Source organism: Homo sapiens, chromosome 10 (genome assembly GCF_000001405.40).
Source record: "Homo sapiens chromosome 10, GRCh38.p14 Primary Assembly".
Taxonomy (NCBI): domain Eukaryota; kingdom Metazoa; phylum Chordata; class Mammalia; order Primates; family Hominidae; genus Homo; species Homo sapiens.
Genome location: NC_000010.11, coordinates 96,651,382 through 96,668,105, shown reverse-complemented (window position 1 = coordinate 96,668,105; position 16,724 = coordinate 96,651,382). Strand labels below are relative to the sequence as shown.

The 16,724-nt window shown below is 44.1% G+C and overlaps 1 protein-coding gene across 4 annotated transcripts in view, besides 3 other annotated features; it reads left to right on the top strand.

Moving 5' to 3' along the window:
• Positions 1–16,724, top strand: part of PIK3AP1 (phosphoinositide-3-kinase adaptor protein 1) — a 127,200-nt gene that overhangs the window by 52,409 nt on the left and 58,067 nt on the right. For all 4 annotated transcript variants that reach the window (XM_011539248.2, NM_152309.3, XM_047424566.1 and 1 more), the window contains 3 exons: positions 11,172–11,308; positions 15,264–15,408; positions 16,455–16,597. In XM_011539248.2, the coding sequence (XP_011537550.1) occupies positions 11,172–11,308; positions 15,264–15,408; positions 16,455–16,597 (425 nt within the window). The remainder of the gene's footprint in view (positions 1–11,171; positions 11,309–15,263; positions 15,409–16,454; positions 16,598–16,724) is intronic.
• Positions 1,167–1,236: a silencer, noted in NCBI's record as "silent region_2656". NCBI's record gives its function as "represses an Ori minimal core promoter by ATAC-STARR-seq in GM12878 lymphoblastoid cells {active_cell/tissue: GM12878}" and the evidence as "EXISTENCE:reporter gene assay evidence [ECO:0000049][PMID:35858748]".
• Positions 3,347–3,416: an enhancer, noted in NCBI's record as "active region_3831". NCBI's record gives its function as "activates an Ori minimal core promoter by ATAC-STARR-seq in GM12878 lymphoblastoid cells {active_cell/tissue: GM12878}" and the evidence as "EXISTENCE:reporter gene assay evidence [ECO:0000049][PMID:35858748]".
• Positions 10,094–10,153: an enhancer, noted in NCBI's record as "active region_3830". NCBI's record gives its function as "activates an Ori minimal core promoter by ATAC-STARR-seq in GM12878 lymphoblastoid cells {active_cell/tissue: GM12878}" and the evidence as "EXISTENCE:reporter gene assay evidence [ECO:0000049][PMID:35858748]".

Below are 16,724 nucleotides of genomic sequence, written 5' to 3'. Positions count from 1 at the left end.
TTTCCAAAATTTTTTCGTTGTGCTATTAAGTTAATATTTTCTTTAAGTCAATTCATATTTTCTAAGTAAGTATATTTTAAAAGGAAACTTTGCCACTCTACATGAAAAAACCAGTATCTCTTGATATAGATAGAAGTTAGATATAAAAATATAGATAATAAAAAGTACACATTGGTATTAAATTCTGTGGTACACAGATTCCTACAGAAGCCTGTGGGCTTAAGGCCCTGTTCCCTCTATGGCGCAAAAGGAGAAATGCATGGTAAAGAGGTGTTGAAGGCATTCTTTTACTGGTTGAAGTCTTTTCTTTTTGATTTAAGTGGAACTGAAAGATTTGAAAGGGGACTGCTTTCTTAATGTGTGGTTCAGTGTTTTGGAATGTTTGCTGTACACTTTTATTTTTTTTTTTCTTAAAAAATCCTTTATCATCCAACTTGACGCTGTACACTCTAGAATCATCCTGGTCTCACCAGGGTGCATGGCTCATGGTATGGGAAACCCTGGCAGATGGATGACAGCATGGGTTTGGTTAAATTGTTGTCAGGTTGCCTTACAGCACACACTGGGTGACTTGGACAGTGTACTTAGATTTTGGCTGTAAAATGTGTGGAATGATACCAATGTAGTTGCTGTGATAAAATGAAATCATTTATGTTGTGTTTTGCGTAGTTCCTAGCATATTGTAACCGCTCAAGAAATGGCAGTTCTGGTTGTTTTTAAGAACCATGCTTGTTTATGCATTTCTCAAGGCTTAATACTGCCTTACAAGAGTAGTTTGTGTCCTCTGAAAAATATTCTCCAAGATCAGCAAACGTCATTCTTTTCCACACCCCTTCCAGAGCGCCAACTGAGTACCAGACATTGTATAGTGAAAAGAGGCAGTGAGCACTGTGGTGTGAAAGCTCAGTTGGAAAATGGGAGAGTGCAGCCTTGGGTTGGAGGCCACTAGGGCATGGAAGACCATGGATGGTTCCATTGGCATGAAATATTTCTTGACTTAAACCCCATCCTTGGAATGTGCCCATTTGCCATGGTGGCAGGTCACAGCATACCTAACCAGGGCAGCATTGCTCGGAACAAGGCAGCACCTTTAGGCGTCAGTGACAGCAAAAGCTCCAGGTTGTGTCTCATGAACTTCAGAGTCACAACCCCAGACCAGGAATAGGAAGTGATACCTTCCACTGCCCTGGGCCACATCTAGAAGGGAGGCAGGGCAGTGGCACCTGGGGGTGGGGAGTGGATTCCTACCTCTGCTCCGTGCTGCTGCTTGACCTTGGCTGGGTAATTTCATTCCTTCTGGGCACTGGATTTTCATCTATAAAATGGGAATAAGCATTGATTCCTATTTTACAGGGTTGTTCTGAGGATTAAATGAGATTAGGACTATTGAGCAGTCACCATAATATTTAACAAATGGGAACTTTGATCATTATCATTATAAGTAATAATAATGACTGTCACCAGCTCTTACCTAGCATTAGCTACTCCATGTAGCTTAGTTGTGGGTCCAAATGCATACATATATTTATTACATTTAAAATTCATAGTTTTTTTCAGACCCAAATAGTGTATAGATTCCCCTTAAGGGAAATAAATATTATGAAGCTTTAGTGTCGACTAATTAATGATTTTGATGTTGTTTAAATATGCATAGACATATTTAACTCTTTTTTTTGTTTGTTTGTTTGAGATGGAGTCTCACTCTGTTGCCCAGGCTGGAGTACAATGGTGCGATCTCGGCTCACTGCAAGCTCCGCCTCCCAGGTTCACGCCATTCTCCTGCCTCAGCCTCCCGAGTAGCTGGGACTACAGGCGCCTGCTACCACGCCCGGCTAATTTTTTGTATTTTTAGTAGAGACGGGGTTTCACCATGTTAGCCAGGATGGTCTCGATCTCCTGACCTTGTGATCCTCCCGCCTCGGCCTCCCAAAGTGCTGGGATTACAGGCATGAGCCACCTCGCCCGGCCTATTTAACTCTTTTTTTATTTGTATGTTCTATAGTCATACATATTTAATTCTTTATGTTTATTGTTCTGTCCCAACTCCGAAAGCAAAACAAATGAACAAGACACAAATACAGGTATAAAATAAATAAAATGCAAATCGACCACGTTCATTTTGTCATAGAGGATGCTGGTTTATTGTGGCAGCGTCCTGTGCACTGTGTGGAGGCTGTGGTACTCGCCAATCTGTGGGGAGTCTTGCTCCGTCTCCCCTGTGTTATTTTGGGGCTTGGATCTCCCACCACATTTCTCTATTTAAAGTAGTGTACAGGAAAATCTCCTTGTGTTCAGTTGGCACAAATGTCTCATTTCCATATCATCCTGCCCCCTTCTTTCCTCAGTAACCTCTGACATTTAGCATAGCATGACCTACCTGCAAAGAGATTGCAGACACAAACACAGGCTCAGACTCCTGTGGCAGGACCCCCTTTATAACGTGGTCATTCATATAATCTGAAAAGTTCTTGCATCCCATTTAAAAGGCATTATGATCTAAATGAAGAGCCCAGACACCGATTCTCATAAAGAACGTATCTAAGGACTTTCTGCAGACCAGACACTGGTTTGAGAGACAGTGACTCATATACTGACTGGATCTCCAAAGTATTTGAAGCAGTCTTAAAAATTAAACACAATATAAAAAAGAGAAATAGGCAAGACCAAGGACCTGGACAGGAGTGTGAAAGAGGCTAAGAACCAAATTTGTCACCGAGCAAGGGCCAAAGGTGAAATATACCAATGTTCGCTCGTTCCTTTTATCTGATAAGAGAAAGCACTCAAGTTCTCTGAAGAGACAGACTTTTCCTGCCATAGAATTCAAGGAGTATTTATTACATGGATCCTTTATAGATGACACTTTGAAGAACCAGATGCACACAGAAAGTCTTTTTCAATCATTTCTCCAGAGTTTCTCTAGACTTCATAAAAGCTGAGAGGATATTGTGAAATTTTAAAGCAGTGAGGATGCTACTGGCATCTTAATAATACTTTACACTGAGGAGGATCCCTGGGGTTTTCAGAGTACCTTCGCTCAAACATTATTATTCGAGTCTCAGGACAGCAAAGGTGGTATTATCTTCAAAGCGGGAAGTGGTCCAAGAGGGATCTACATGTTCAGGTGGGAAGGTCTGAGACCACCCCACTCTGTCAGGTGGGTAAGAGCAGTGCTTATGTCTGAGTGGGCATTTCCTTTGAAGGAAACTTTTAATCTGCTGAAGTGCTTGGACCCTGGCCCTGTTGGGACTCTGCCTTCTCCGTAGTGCATTGTGGAAGAGGCCACTGTGGCTTGTCAATCAGCGCCACCAGAATAACCCTGCAGAATGAATGACATCCTGCCTAACTTCCTGAAATGAGTGAGCTGCTGGTGGCTATCTAAGGTGACTAAATGAATAGACCTACTGGAAGGAATTGTTTATTTTGTATGGCCTGTCTGAATGCTGGGAAATATCTGCCAAGTGCCGCACTATTAGCATCAATCTCATTTGTGTCAAGCTGGGCTCTTGGGCAAAATTATTAGCTAATAGATTGCATTGGTTTTGTGCCTATTTTAAAAAAATGATTAGCTAATAGATTGCATTGGTTTTGTGCCTATTTTTAAAAAATGATTAGCTAATAGATTCAGTTGCTACTTTTTCCCTTACCCTACCCCCATTATCAAAGAAATGCTTTCTCACTATGGAAAATACTAAAATACATAAAATGGTAGAAGGAAGGAGGGAGGGAGAGAGGAAAGAAGCATGCAGAATCCAGCCACACATTTTCTTCTGACCTTTTAAAATGCATTTTTTATATAATTGAAATCCTGCAGCATCTGAGATATAATTTTATATCCTGCTTTTTCGCTTCGCATGCCGTAAGCTTTTACCCATGTCACTTAGAACTCTTTGAAAATAATGTTTTTAATAGTCTTTTAGGTTGTTTTCAGTTTTTTCACTGATGCAAAGCCTCTTGGTTCAGAATCTTTATTTTGGACTTTTATTTTCCTCCTTAAGAGAGACTTCTGGAAATAGAATTATGTGGCAAAAGCTGTGAACATTTTCAAGGCCTTCTCTTTCTCTGGGTGTGGACACATGGCTTTCCAGAAAGATTGTGCAGTTTGTACTTCCCTCAGCAGCTGGGGGGTATCTGTCCTCCAGTCACCTTTAAACCCTGCACTGTTTAAAGTTTAAAGTTTATTGGGTGTACTTCACAGCATTTTCTAATTTGAAAAGCTAAAATAGCAAGACAGCATTGTATTTTCATTTGCATTCTCATGATGACTAGTGAGAATGAATGATATTTGTTTGAATGGGGAGGTAATTTGTATTCCTTCTTTTATGAATTGTCTTCTTATTGGTCTTGGGGTATTTTAAAAGAGATTTCGTGACATCTTCGTATATTAAGAAGATTAGCCCCTTATCATTTTTACTTCAAATTTTTAAACTGTTTGTGATTTGCCAATGGGTTTCTTTTTTTTTTTTTTTTTTTTTTTTTTTGACGGAGTCTCACTCTGTTGCCCAGGCTGGAGTACAGTGGTGCGATCTCGACTCACTGCAACTTCTGCCTCCTGGGTTCAAGTGATTCTCCTGCCTCAGCCTCCTGAGAAGCTGGGATTACAGGCGTATACCACCATGCCCGGCTAATTTTTGCATTTTTAGTAGAGACGGAGTTTCACCATGTTGGCCAGGCTGGTCTTGAACTCCTGACCTCAGGTGATCCACCTGCCTCAACCTACCAAAGTGTTGGGATTACAGGTATGAGCCACCGCGCCCAGCCTGCCATTGGTTTCTTTGTTGAGGTATAATTCACATACCATCAATTTATCCATTTAAAGTGTACAATTCAATGTTTTTTTCGTATATTCACAGATTTGTGCAATATTCACCATAATCCATTTTAGAGTATTTTCAATCAATTTTAGAATATTTTCATCACCTCAGAAAGAAATTTCATACCTCTTAGCTATTGTCCCACAATCCTGCCAATCTCCCCAGCCCAAAGCAACCACTAATCTACTTTCTGTCTCTATAGATTTGCCTGTCCTGGACATATATTTGGAATCATATAATTTGTGGTCTTTTATGACTATCTTCTTTCACTTAGCATAATGTTTTCAAGATTCATGCATGCTGTAGCATTTATCAGTACATCATTCATTTTTATTTATCTATTTAATTTACTTATTTATTGAGATGGAGTTTCCCTCTTTTTTTTTTTTTTTTTTTTTTTTTTTTTGAGACGGAGTCTCGCTCTGTCGCCCAGGCGGGACTGCGGACTGCAGTGGCGCAATCTCGGCTCACTGCAAGCTCCGCTTCCCCGGTTCACGCCATTCTCCTGCCTCAGCCTCCCGAGTAGCTGGGACTACAGGCGCCCGCCACCGCGCCCGGCTAATTTTTTTTGTATTTTTAGTAGAGACGGGGTTTCACCTTGTTAGCCAGGATGGTCTCGATCTCCTGACCTCATGATCCACCCGCCTCGGCCTCCCAAAGTGCTGGGATTACAGGCGTGAGCCACCGCGCCCGGCCGGAGTTTCCCTCTTGTTGCCCAGGCTGGAGTGCAGTGGCGCGATCTTGGCTCACTGCAATCTCTGCCTCCTGGGTTCAAGCAATTCTCCTGCCTCAGCCTCTTGAGTAGTTGAGAATACAGGCGCCCACCACCATGCCTGGCTAATTTTTTGTATTTTTAGTAGAGATAGGGTTTCACCATGTTGGCCAGGCTGATCTCGAGCTCCTGACCTCAGGTGATCCACCCGCCTTGGCCTCCCAAAAGTGCAGGGATTACAGGTGTGAGCCACTGCGCCCGGCCTTATTTATCTATTATAATAAGAAAATGTGTCTCTATTTATATAAAACAACATATTGTTTTGAAATTTATTTCTCTTTATTGCTGAGTAATGTTCCATTATATGGACATACCTCATTTTGTTTATCCATTCATCAGTTGATGGACATTTGGGCTGTTTCCACCTTTTGACTATTAGGAATGATGCTGCTACAGCATTTTGATTTTAGTTTTTTGTTTGTTTACTAAAGTTTTAAATTTATATTATCAAGTCTTGCTCATTTAGATTGTGATTTTTGTTTGTTTAACAAATATTTTCCCAAACCACTGATAAAATGTTCACATGTATTTTCTTTTTAATTTTTAAAATTTGTTTATTTATTTTGCATTTTAATCTCTAATCCATCTAAATTTTATTTTGGAGTTATAAGAATTAGGAAGAATCTAAATAGTACCCCTCACTTTCCCCTCTCCTTTCCCTTTCCTTTCCCTTTCCCTTTTCCCTTTCCTTTCCTGTCCTGTCCTGTCCTGTCCTGTCCTGTCCTGTCCTATCCTGTCCTTTCCTTTTCTCAGTGTCTCGCTCTGTCTCCCAGGCTGGAGTGCAGTGGCACAATCTGCAACCTCCACTTCCTGGACTCAAGCGACCCTCCCACCTCAGCCTCCCAAGTAGCTGGGACTGCAGGCACATGCCACCATGCCTGGCTAATATTTTTGAGTAGATTTTATATTTTAGAGCAGTTTTAGGTTCATAGCAAAATTAAGTGGAAAGCATGCAAAGTTCCATGTCTGCTCTGCCCCTATGTACACACAGCCTCCTCCCACCCCCATCAACATCCAGCACCAGAGTGGCACATTTGTTACCACTGATGAATCTACATTGATGCATCATTATCACTCACCCGAAGGCCAGAGTTTATATTAGGATTCACCTACTGTTGTATACTCTATTGGTGTGGACAAATGTCTAATAACATGCACCCACCAGTATAGTATCATACAGAGTAGTTTCATTGCCCTAAAAAGCCTCTGTGCTCTGCCTATTCATTCTTTCTTTCCTCCTAACCACTGGCAATCAGTGATCCATAGTTCTGCCTTTTCCAGAATGTCATATAGTTGGAATCCTACAGTGTGTTTTCAGATTGGCTTTTTTTTTTTTAGATGGAGTTTTGCTCGTTTCCCAGGCTGAAGTGCAGTGGCGCAATCTCAGCTCACTGCAACCTTCACCTCCCAGGTTCAAGTGATTCTCCTGCCTCAGCCTCATGAGAGGCTAATTTTTGTATTAGCCTCTCGGCCTCATGGCTGGCTAATTTTTGTATTTTCAGTAGAAACAGGGTTTCACCATGTTGGCCAGGCTGGTCTCGAACTCCTGACCTCAGGTGATCCAACTACCTTGGCCTCCCAAAGTGCTGGGATTACAGGGGTGAGCCACCATGCCTGACTCAGAGTGACTTCTTTCACTTAGTAATATGCATTCAGGTTTTCTCCATGGCATTTCAGGGCTTGCCTGCTCATTTCTTTTTGGTGCAGAATAGTATTGTATTGTCTGGGTGTACCGCACTTTATCCATTCACCTACTGAAGGACATCTTGGTCACTTCCAAGTTTTGGCTGTTTTGAACAAAGCTGCTATAAACATTTGTGTGCAGGTTTTTGTGTGACTGTAAGTTTTCAATTCTTTTTGGTAAATACTGAGGAGCATGATTGCTGGATTGTTTAGTAAGCTTGTGTTTAGTTTTGTAAGTCTGTCTTCCAAAGTGGCTGTACCATTTTGCATTCCTGCCAGCAAAGGATGCATTCCTACCAGAAAAGGAGAAGAACCTCGGGAAAGGATGCAAGTTCTTGTTGCTCCACTTCCTGACCAGCATTTGGTGTTGTCAGTGTTCTCGCTTCTGCCCATTCTCATAGATTTGTAGTGCTATTTCATGGCTGTTTTAATTTGCGTTTCCCTGATGACATATGATGTGGACCATCTTTTCAAGATATACAGATGGCTTCTTTGCCATCCATGTGTCTTATTTGGTGAAGTGTCTGTTCAGGTCTTTTGCTCTTTTTTAAAATCAGGCTTTTCGTTTTCTGCTTGTTGAGTTTTAAGAGTTCTTTGTATATTTTGGGTACAAGTATTTTATTAGATATGTCTTTTGCAATATTTTCTCCCAGACGATCGCTTATCTCTGCATTCTTTTGACAATGTCTTTCGCAGAACAGATCTGTACTGGTTTTTAATGCTTTTTAAAATCCCATATTAAGTTTTTATGGGAATGAAGCCTTAATTCTGGACCATCTCTTGTATTCAATTGCTCTATCCATTCTGTTTTTTAATAACTTTAATATAAAATAGGACTATCCTTTATTATTTTTTAAAACTTTACTAGAAGACGTAATACCTATATAAATGGAGTTTTCCAGGGTAGGAAATAATTAGTATTATAAAGAAGAACATTGTCCCAAATAAAATGTTAAATTCAATTCAAAGAAGGTTGTGTGGCTTTTACTCTAAATATTATTTTAAAACTGAGGAGTGTTTTTTCATGGTTATTACTTTTTTTCATGGTTATTGATTTAGTCAGGTTTTTTACTTCTTTAAAGACAATTTCAATACTTTATATTTTTCTATTAAAATTGCATTTTGTTTTTTTTTTTTTTGGTAGAGACAGAGTTTTACTATGTTGCCCAAGCTGGTCTTGAACTCCTGGCCTTAAGTGATCCTCCCACCTCAGCCTCCCAAAGTGCTGGGATTACAGGTGTGAGCTACCACACCTGGCTGCATTGAGATTTTCTTAGCACAGAGTTCTCACTTTAATATGAATTCTTACCGTAGACTTTTCACTTCAATGTGTTTCATAAAATTTCTTAAAATATAGACTAGTGGGCCAGTAATTTGGGAGAAATAAAGGATTTGTCTTTGTTGAAACAATGGTAGACTGCACTGTGGGTCCATCCCAAAGAGGTTATACCTGTGTGATATACTAGAATAGGTAATTGGTAAGAGTTTGAGCCACTCCAGCCACTGTGGCCACTCAGAATAGTATCTAAAAAATTCTGGAGCAAGAAATAGTTTCAAGGAGCTTCTTTCTATTTTAAGTAACTGAATGTTTCAAGTCCATGGGATTACTTTCTCATCCCAGAAGAACCTCAGAAATATTTTTTTAAATGGTATGTCCAGGAATCTAATAATAATTAACTGAAACTTCATAAAATCCTTAAGAAGAAGACTGTGTGAATTGTCCCTGATGTTTTTGGCTTTTTCCATTACAAGCTCCTGTGCTGAGTGAGGGTTGCTTGGGTGGCATGTATAGCTCTGTCCAGGGTGATGGGCCCTGGCTGTTTTAGAAGTGATCAGTCAAGGAGAGAAGGGTGTGGGGAAGGGCATATTCAGCAGAGAAAACGGCAGCCTACTGTGTTAGTTTTTGCAGGGATTGAGGGGAGAGCCAGGAGAATTAGAAAGGAGAGTTGGAGGAGACCGATGGTTCTGATGCCCAGCTAAAAACCATATCGCCTTGCGTAGAACACTCTGGGTCCTTTGCTCTACCTCTTAACACTAGATTCTGCCTGACGTACAGACAAGGACAAAGATCTGGCAGCATTCAAACAGGCATTCTGGAGTAGCATGTCTTGGGAAAAATCATGGAGGGGGAATAGTGGCAAGAGTACATGCCTCATTGCCTGTTGCTCTCTAGGGCAGCCCATAGACATTCAGCAGTCAGATGCCAGGCTCTGGGACGGGACCTCCACTCTAGGCTACTGAGATTTTAAGCTGCATGGCTAGGGAAGAAGCCCCGGCCCCTCTGCTGGCCTGAGTAGGCCAGGGGTCAGGGTCTTATAGTTACAGCAATAGGATACGGTGGTACTGAGGCCCTGTAGCCCTGCCCCCAACTCGGCCTTTATGGTTGTGGAAGCACAGCCTCTTCCTAGCATGACCTGGGGTCTAGGGTGAAAGCCTGTGGTTACAGCTTTCCAGGGTGCCTATCAGCAGCTGTTTCGTAACCCTAGCATTCTACCAGGACAGTTGCCACAAACTCTGCAGAGGCCAATTTTCTTCCAGGAAACCAGGCTGCAGGAATCAGCCAAACTAACCCTTGCTTCTCACCTCTCCTGTCCTTTTAGATGATGGACTCTCTGAAGGCAGGGTTAGTGTCTGATTCGTCCTCGGGTTCCCTCAAGTACCTAACATATTTGGCTGCTTGTATAAGTGGTTAAGGAATGAATAAGAGCAAACCCCAAAAATAGACTGATGAAACTTCTCTCTCCTCTCAACCATTCTATTTTTTTTTTTTTTTTTTGAGATGGAGTTTCACTCTTGTTACCCAGGCTGGAGTGCAGTGGTGCAATCTTGGCTCACTGCAACCTCTGCCTCCCAGGTTCAAGTGATTCTCCTGCCTCAGCCTCCCAAGTAGCTGGGATTACATGCATGTGCCACCACACCTGGCTAATTTTGTATTTTTAGTAGAGACGGGGTTTCACCATGTTGGTCAGGCTAGTCTCAAACTCCTGACCTCAGGTGATCCGCCTTCCTTGGCCTCCCAAAGTGCTGGGATTATAGGCCACCACGCCCAGCCCTCTCAACCATTCTTAACCATTTTGGGATTCTGTCCCTCTTTGGGGATCTGATGAATGCTTTGAACTATCTCCAGAAAAGTGCAGGCAAATGCATACACATGTGCATGCACACACACACACACACACACAATCTTGCACACAACCTCAGAGGTAGGTCTATCAATTAACAGATTCTGGTTAAGAGCCCCTGCCTTAGAGCTCTGGTAGGTTCTCAGCAGCATCTCATTCTGTGCCAATACCACACACATTTGCACACCCCTGCTCACCAGCCCTGACTCTGTGCATGCTCCAATCTTTCCGTGGTACAGGTGTTGCCTGTGGAGCCTGGTTAGATTTATCTAAAGTTTGTTGAAAATGATTGCTTTTCACTTTTGCTTCCAGAGGGGATACATTGGCTAGCCATAACCCTGAGACCTAGTGGCTTTCTGGACAGTGCAGGTTTTACTTGATGTTCCAAGAATGACCTTTAAGTGGACAGTCCCTACTTGAACCCACCTAAGGGGAAAGGGCCTTCTTCCTTTCCTCACTCCTCTTCATCCCTGCAGGAAGTCTGCAGGTAAAGCTTCCGGAAACCCATTGGTTAAGACTAAACCTGCAGCCTCAGACTTTCTGGCCTTCCCCTCCATGATTGTCATCCCTCTTGCTGTCATTCTGCCCTGTGGCCTACATGCTGTTTGGCTTGTCTTCATTAGGTCGCCTTTCATGATTTCCTGAGTCAGTCCCTTCTGCTTGTATTGGTTTGACATTCAGAGCCGTTTCCTATTTTGCAATATTTGGGGCTCTCATGGGGTGGAACATGTCCACAGTTCTCCTTCCTGCCGTTCCCATTCAGCGGTGTCCTCTATTTTGTAGATTCTGGCTGTGACTCAGTCACTGACACTGAGCCTGAGGACGAGAAGGTTGTTTCCTACTCGAAGCAGCAGAACCTGCCGACGGTGACTTCACCTGGGAACCTGATGGTGGTGCAGCCGGACCGCATTCGCTGTGGGGTAGGCACTGCTGGGGGCCTGGTAGCTGGATGTCAGCACTTGGGCTTTTCAAATGCATGCATTTGTTGCAGTAAAGAGAGTGGTTTCTTGTATTGCACCTCAGTATAATTGCAGCCTTCCTTTGGGATTTCTTTTGAGTACCCTGTTACCCGGGCCCTGGAGACACCCAGCTCCCCTGAGTAAGAGAGAGACTAGCCCAGGGAGATGTGTGTCATCAGTCTAAGACTTCTGTTCTATGGATCAGTAATAACGTAGAGCACCTAGGAGACCAGCAGACAGGAGCATTCCAGACACTAACGCTAACCCTAAAGTTAGAGGCCTGTGTCTCTTCCTGGTAGCCTAGTGCTGGGAGGAAGGAAATGCATCTTGGGCATCTGACAGCTTGCTTCTCCATCACTGGCCACTGCCATGGCCCAAGGAAGTGCCTTGAAGCTTGACGGCTGAAACCAACTGGCCAATATTGCTTTTTAAAGGGATCAGATAAATGCCATACATCATATGACTAGCATTTTCAGGGGTGGGGCATACATTACAGATGACTTGAGTGTGAGGGCCCAACTGATGAGCCACTGCCATTTGAATCCTACCTTAGTACTGATGGTTTTTCTTTATTTTTCCTTTCCTAATTAAAAACGTGTGGCATTTATGATAGTTCAGAGCAGCAGAATGCTTCCTTTATGGATACAAGCTCTTTGCTAAGATGGCTTTGCAGGCTCCTTGAGGCGAGACAGCGTGGGAGCCTTGGCAGTGGGCAGCACTGGCTTCCTCACCCTTGTGGGTGGTTTTGTGCAGGCTGAGGCCGTGAGGCATTGGGCAAGCACTTCCTACGTGGGGTTGCCAACTGTTTCTTTGGGCCAGATTTAACTGATAGTCATTGTATTAGTCTGTTTTCACGCTACTGATAAAGACATACCTGAGACTGGGAAATTTACAAAAGAAAGAGATTTAATTGGACTTACTGTTCTACATGGCTAAGGGGGCCTCACAATCATAGCAGAAGGCAAGGAGGAGGAAAGGCATGTCTTACATGGATGGCAGCAGGCAAAGAGAGAGATAACTTGTGCAGGGGAACTCCTCTTTTTAAAACCATCAGAGCTCATGAAACTTATTCACTATCATGAGAACAGCACAGGAAAGACCCGCCCCCCCATAATTCAATCACCTCCCACCAGGTTCCTCTCACTGGGAATTGTGGGAGTTACAATTCAAGATGAGATTTGGGTGGGGACATAGCCAAACCATATCAGACATGTTTGGTTTGGACTGCACAGTGTTTATTTATTTATTTTTTGAGACAGAGTCTGTCTCTCTCATCCAGGCTGGAGTGTAGTGGTGAGATCTCAGCTCGCTGCAACCTCTGCCTCCCAGATTCAAGCAATTCTTGTGCCTCAGCCTCCCAAGTAGCTGGGATTACAGGCACACACCACCATGCCTGGCTAATTTTTTTTGTATTTTTAGTAGAGACGAGGTTTCTCCATGTTGGCCAGGTTGGCCTCAAACTCCTGGCCTCAAGTGATCCATTCACCTCAGCCCCACAAAATGATGGGATTACAGACATGTGTCACCATGCCTGGTCTAGACTGCATAGTATTTTAAAAGTTAGGCATTGGCTGGGCACAATGGCTTACACCTGTAATCCCAAGACTTTGGGAGGCCGAGGCGGGTGGATCCCTTGAGCTCAGGAGTTTGAGACCAGCCTGGGCAACATGGTGAGACTCCCATCTTTATTTTTCTATTTTATTTTAAAAAGTTAGGCATAAAAATCTGTGTTTCCAGCTTCCTTTGAATCAGAATCTGGTCATATTAGGCCTGAGATGACTGGCGGGGGCCAAGCAACCCTGTACATGGGCCATGCATCCCCCAGTTGGCGGGTCCCCACAGTCCCTGTTCTTTATACAAGGCCTATCTCACTCCTTTGCCTTACTGGCCATGCCTTTGTGGACATTTCCATTTTAAATCTTCCCATGCCACTTTCTGCTTTCCCCATGCCCCTCTGGTCAGGCTGTTGGGTGCCCATGGGTAAAGGGGGTTGCCACCAAAGCATTATCTCCTTCACTCTCCTCTGTGATTTTTCCAGGCTCTCATTCCTTCTCCTATCTTGACTGCCTGTTATCCCAGGATTCTTGTTGCCGATTTCAGGCTTCTGGATCCTGGGGAGAGGGGAAGGGGCAGGCCGGGGTTTGGTCCTGACTGTCAGTAGAGGAGACACACATTCTCATTGGCTCCTCATGCTCCCTGGCAGAAGGTGTAGGTGGGACAAGGCTGGGCCTGCAGCAGGAGGGACGACCACCACAGCACATGTGTGTGCAGCCTCAGCAGCCCCAGGAGCCAGGATCACCCCCCACATCACGTGTCATAAAGTCCAAGCTTGCCACACCCTCTCATGGCCCTTGTCATGAAGGGCTAATCTGAGGACTTTATAGCAGAGTCTTAGGAGGAATATCTGGGGATTCGCTATGGCCAGGAATCTCTCCTTTCCCCATGTTTTTTGGAGAGCCTGCCCTCACCAGTTCAGACTGAGAGGCTCATTCCCCCCACGTAACCAGCACAGCAGAGTCAGTCCATTTGGCAGGCTTAGTGTGAGATCTTAAAGCAAGCTAAAAGAGCTATTCGAGGCGCTCGATGGTTTGGGAAAATTAATCCCCCGAGAAGTTCTTTTTGCCCAGTGGTAAAATCCAGGACTGCATGAAGAGCAGAGCCCAGGAGGGCTTCTCTCAGGCTGCAAAGTGCACGGGTGTCACCTGGGCATCTTGTTATGATGCAGACTCTGGCTCAGTGGGGCCAGGAGGGGCCTGAGACTCTGCATTTCTAACAAGCTTCTGGGGGATGCTGATGCTGCTGCTCCCTTGGCTCCGCCTTGAGTAGCAGGACTGGTCCAGAGCAGGGCTTCTCAAGCTATCTGTGGCGAAGGACTTCTAAAAAGATGTCCAATTCTGAAATGGACCAATGATTTCATTAAAAACAATGCAACAGAAATGCTATGCAAAATGAAATCAAAAGACATATAAATGGCCAGGCGCGGTGGTTCACGCCTGTAATCCCAGCACTTTGGGAGGCCAAGGCAGACAGATCACCTGAGGTCAGGAGTTCGAGACCAGCCTGGCCAATATGGTGAAACCCTGTCTCTACTAAACAGAGAAAAATTTGCCGGGTGTGGTGGCAGGTGTCTGTAATCTCAGCTACTAGGGAGGCTGAGGCATGAGAATCGCTTGAACCTGGGAAGGTGGAGGTTGCAGTGAGCTGAGGTCATACCACTGCACTGCAGCCTGGGTGACAGAGTGAAGCTCTGTCTCAAAAAAAAAAAAAAAAAAAAAAAAAGTGTATAAAGTATCGGCCTTAAGGTTTTTTTTGTTTGTTTTGTTTTGTGTGTGTGTGTGTTTTTTTTTTTTTTTGAGACAGAGCCTTGCCTCTGTTGCCCAGGCTGGAGTGCAGTGGTGTGATCTTGGTTCACTGCAACCTCTGCCTCCTGGGTTCAAGTGATTCTCCTGCCTCAGCCTCTTGAGTAACTGGAACTACAGGCACCCACCACCACTCCTGGCTAATTTTTGTATTTTTAGTAGAGGCGGGGTTTCACCATGTTGGCCAGGCTGGTCTCAAACTCCTTACCTTGTGATCCACCCACCTCGGCCTCCCAAAGCGTTGAGATTACAGGCGTGAGCCACCGCGCCCAGCTAAGTTTTATTATTATTATTATTGTTATTATTATTATCAGCTTCAACAGACATAAAATGACTCCATCCAATTGCTATAAATATTTACTCTTGGTTTTTGTGACTTGTCTCGTTGGGACTGGTAGCAAACAGTTCACTGCCCAGCACTGGACCACTGAGTCCACCCTGTCCCCAGAGATTCTCACTAGGTAGAGCTAGGGCAAGAGAGCTGGGGAGACCCTTGGGCCCAACACCCTACGGGGATCTGAGAGGGAGAGGGGACAATGACCGGCTTCCCGTTTCAGGCAGAAACCACTGTCTATGTTATTGTGAGATGTAAGCTGGATGACAGGGTGGCGACAGAAGCAGAGTTTTCTCCTGAGGATTCTCCCTCTGTAAGGATGGAAGCCAAGGTGGAGAATGAGTACACCATTTCAGTGAAGGCTCCCAGTAAGTAGTCCCCTGTGAATGTGATGACATAGGGCTTCATTGCTTATTTGCTATGCTGTCACCAATGCCACCAATGCCAGGTATTATCATCTTAAATATGTTTGCTACTTTGATTTTTTTTTTTTGAGACAGAGTCTCGCTCTGTCTCCCAGGCTGGAGTGCAGTGGCATGATCTCAGCTCACTGCAAGCTCCACCTCCCAGGTTCACGCCATTCTCCTGCCTCAGCCTCCCAAGTAGCTGGGACTACAGGCACCCACCACCACACCTGACTAATTTTTTGTATTTTTAGTAGAGACGGAGTTTCACCATGTTAGCCAGGATGGTCTCAATCTCCTGACCTCATGATCCACCCGCCTCGGCCTCCCAAAATGCTGGATTACAGGCGTGAGCCACGGCACCCAGCTACTTTGATATTTGTTAAAGAGTAGTCCATTGTTTTCATATGCATTTCTTTGATTACTAGTGTGGGTGAATATTTTTCCATGGTCTCTGTTGTCGCATTTCCTCTTTTGTGAATCTCTGTGGTTGGTGTTATTTTTAATTTTCTCTTGCCCCCTCAAAACCCCTTCCTGTGGTATAGCATCCCGCCCCAGGGAGAGTGCGTAGTCATGACAGCAGCTCATGACTTGCAGTGAGCCAGTTCAGCTGCCCCAATGTGGCAGAAACACAGTTTCACCTCCCATGATTTTTCCCTCCTTCTGTGACCACTGGCCTTTGTGTAAAGTGCCTTAAACCCGAATTTTCTTCCTGTTCATTGAGGCACTGGGCCTACAGTAGTGAGTAAAAAGATGAAAATTTTTTGAAAATTAAGTTGCAAACCCAATGAGGATAAATTGCTGTGGCCCAGAGCCCTGCCATGTGCTGGTTTGCTCACCTGCTACCTCCACCCTTTCCCTCACTCCCGCCCCAGCTCACCTCCAAGATCTTTCTTCCAGCCCCCAATTAGTGTCCTCACCACTCAGATGGAGTGTGTATATCCACAGCCACTTTTCCCTGGATGCTTGTTTTTCCTGGGAATTTTGATAGTGTCTTTTCTTCTGTTCAGACCTTTCATCTGGGAACGTTTCTCTGAAGATATATTCTGGAGACTTAGTGGTGTGTGAAACCGTTATCAGCTATTATACTGACATGGAAGAAATTGGGAATTTATTGTCCAATGCCGCGAATCCTGTGGAATTCATGTGTCAGGTAAGGATATTACAAGGAAACCTGAGATTTCTGGGCATGTAATTTCTGCTCATGGCTTATCAGTCTTGAATCTGCGGGATGGAAGAGAGCTGGATTTCAGATCTGACCATCTTCACTTTTGTTTTCA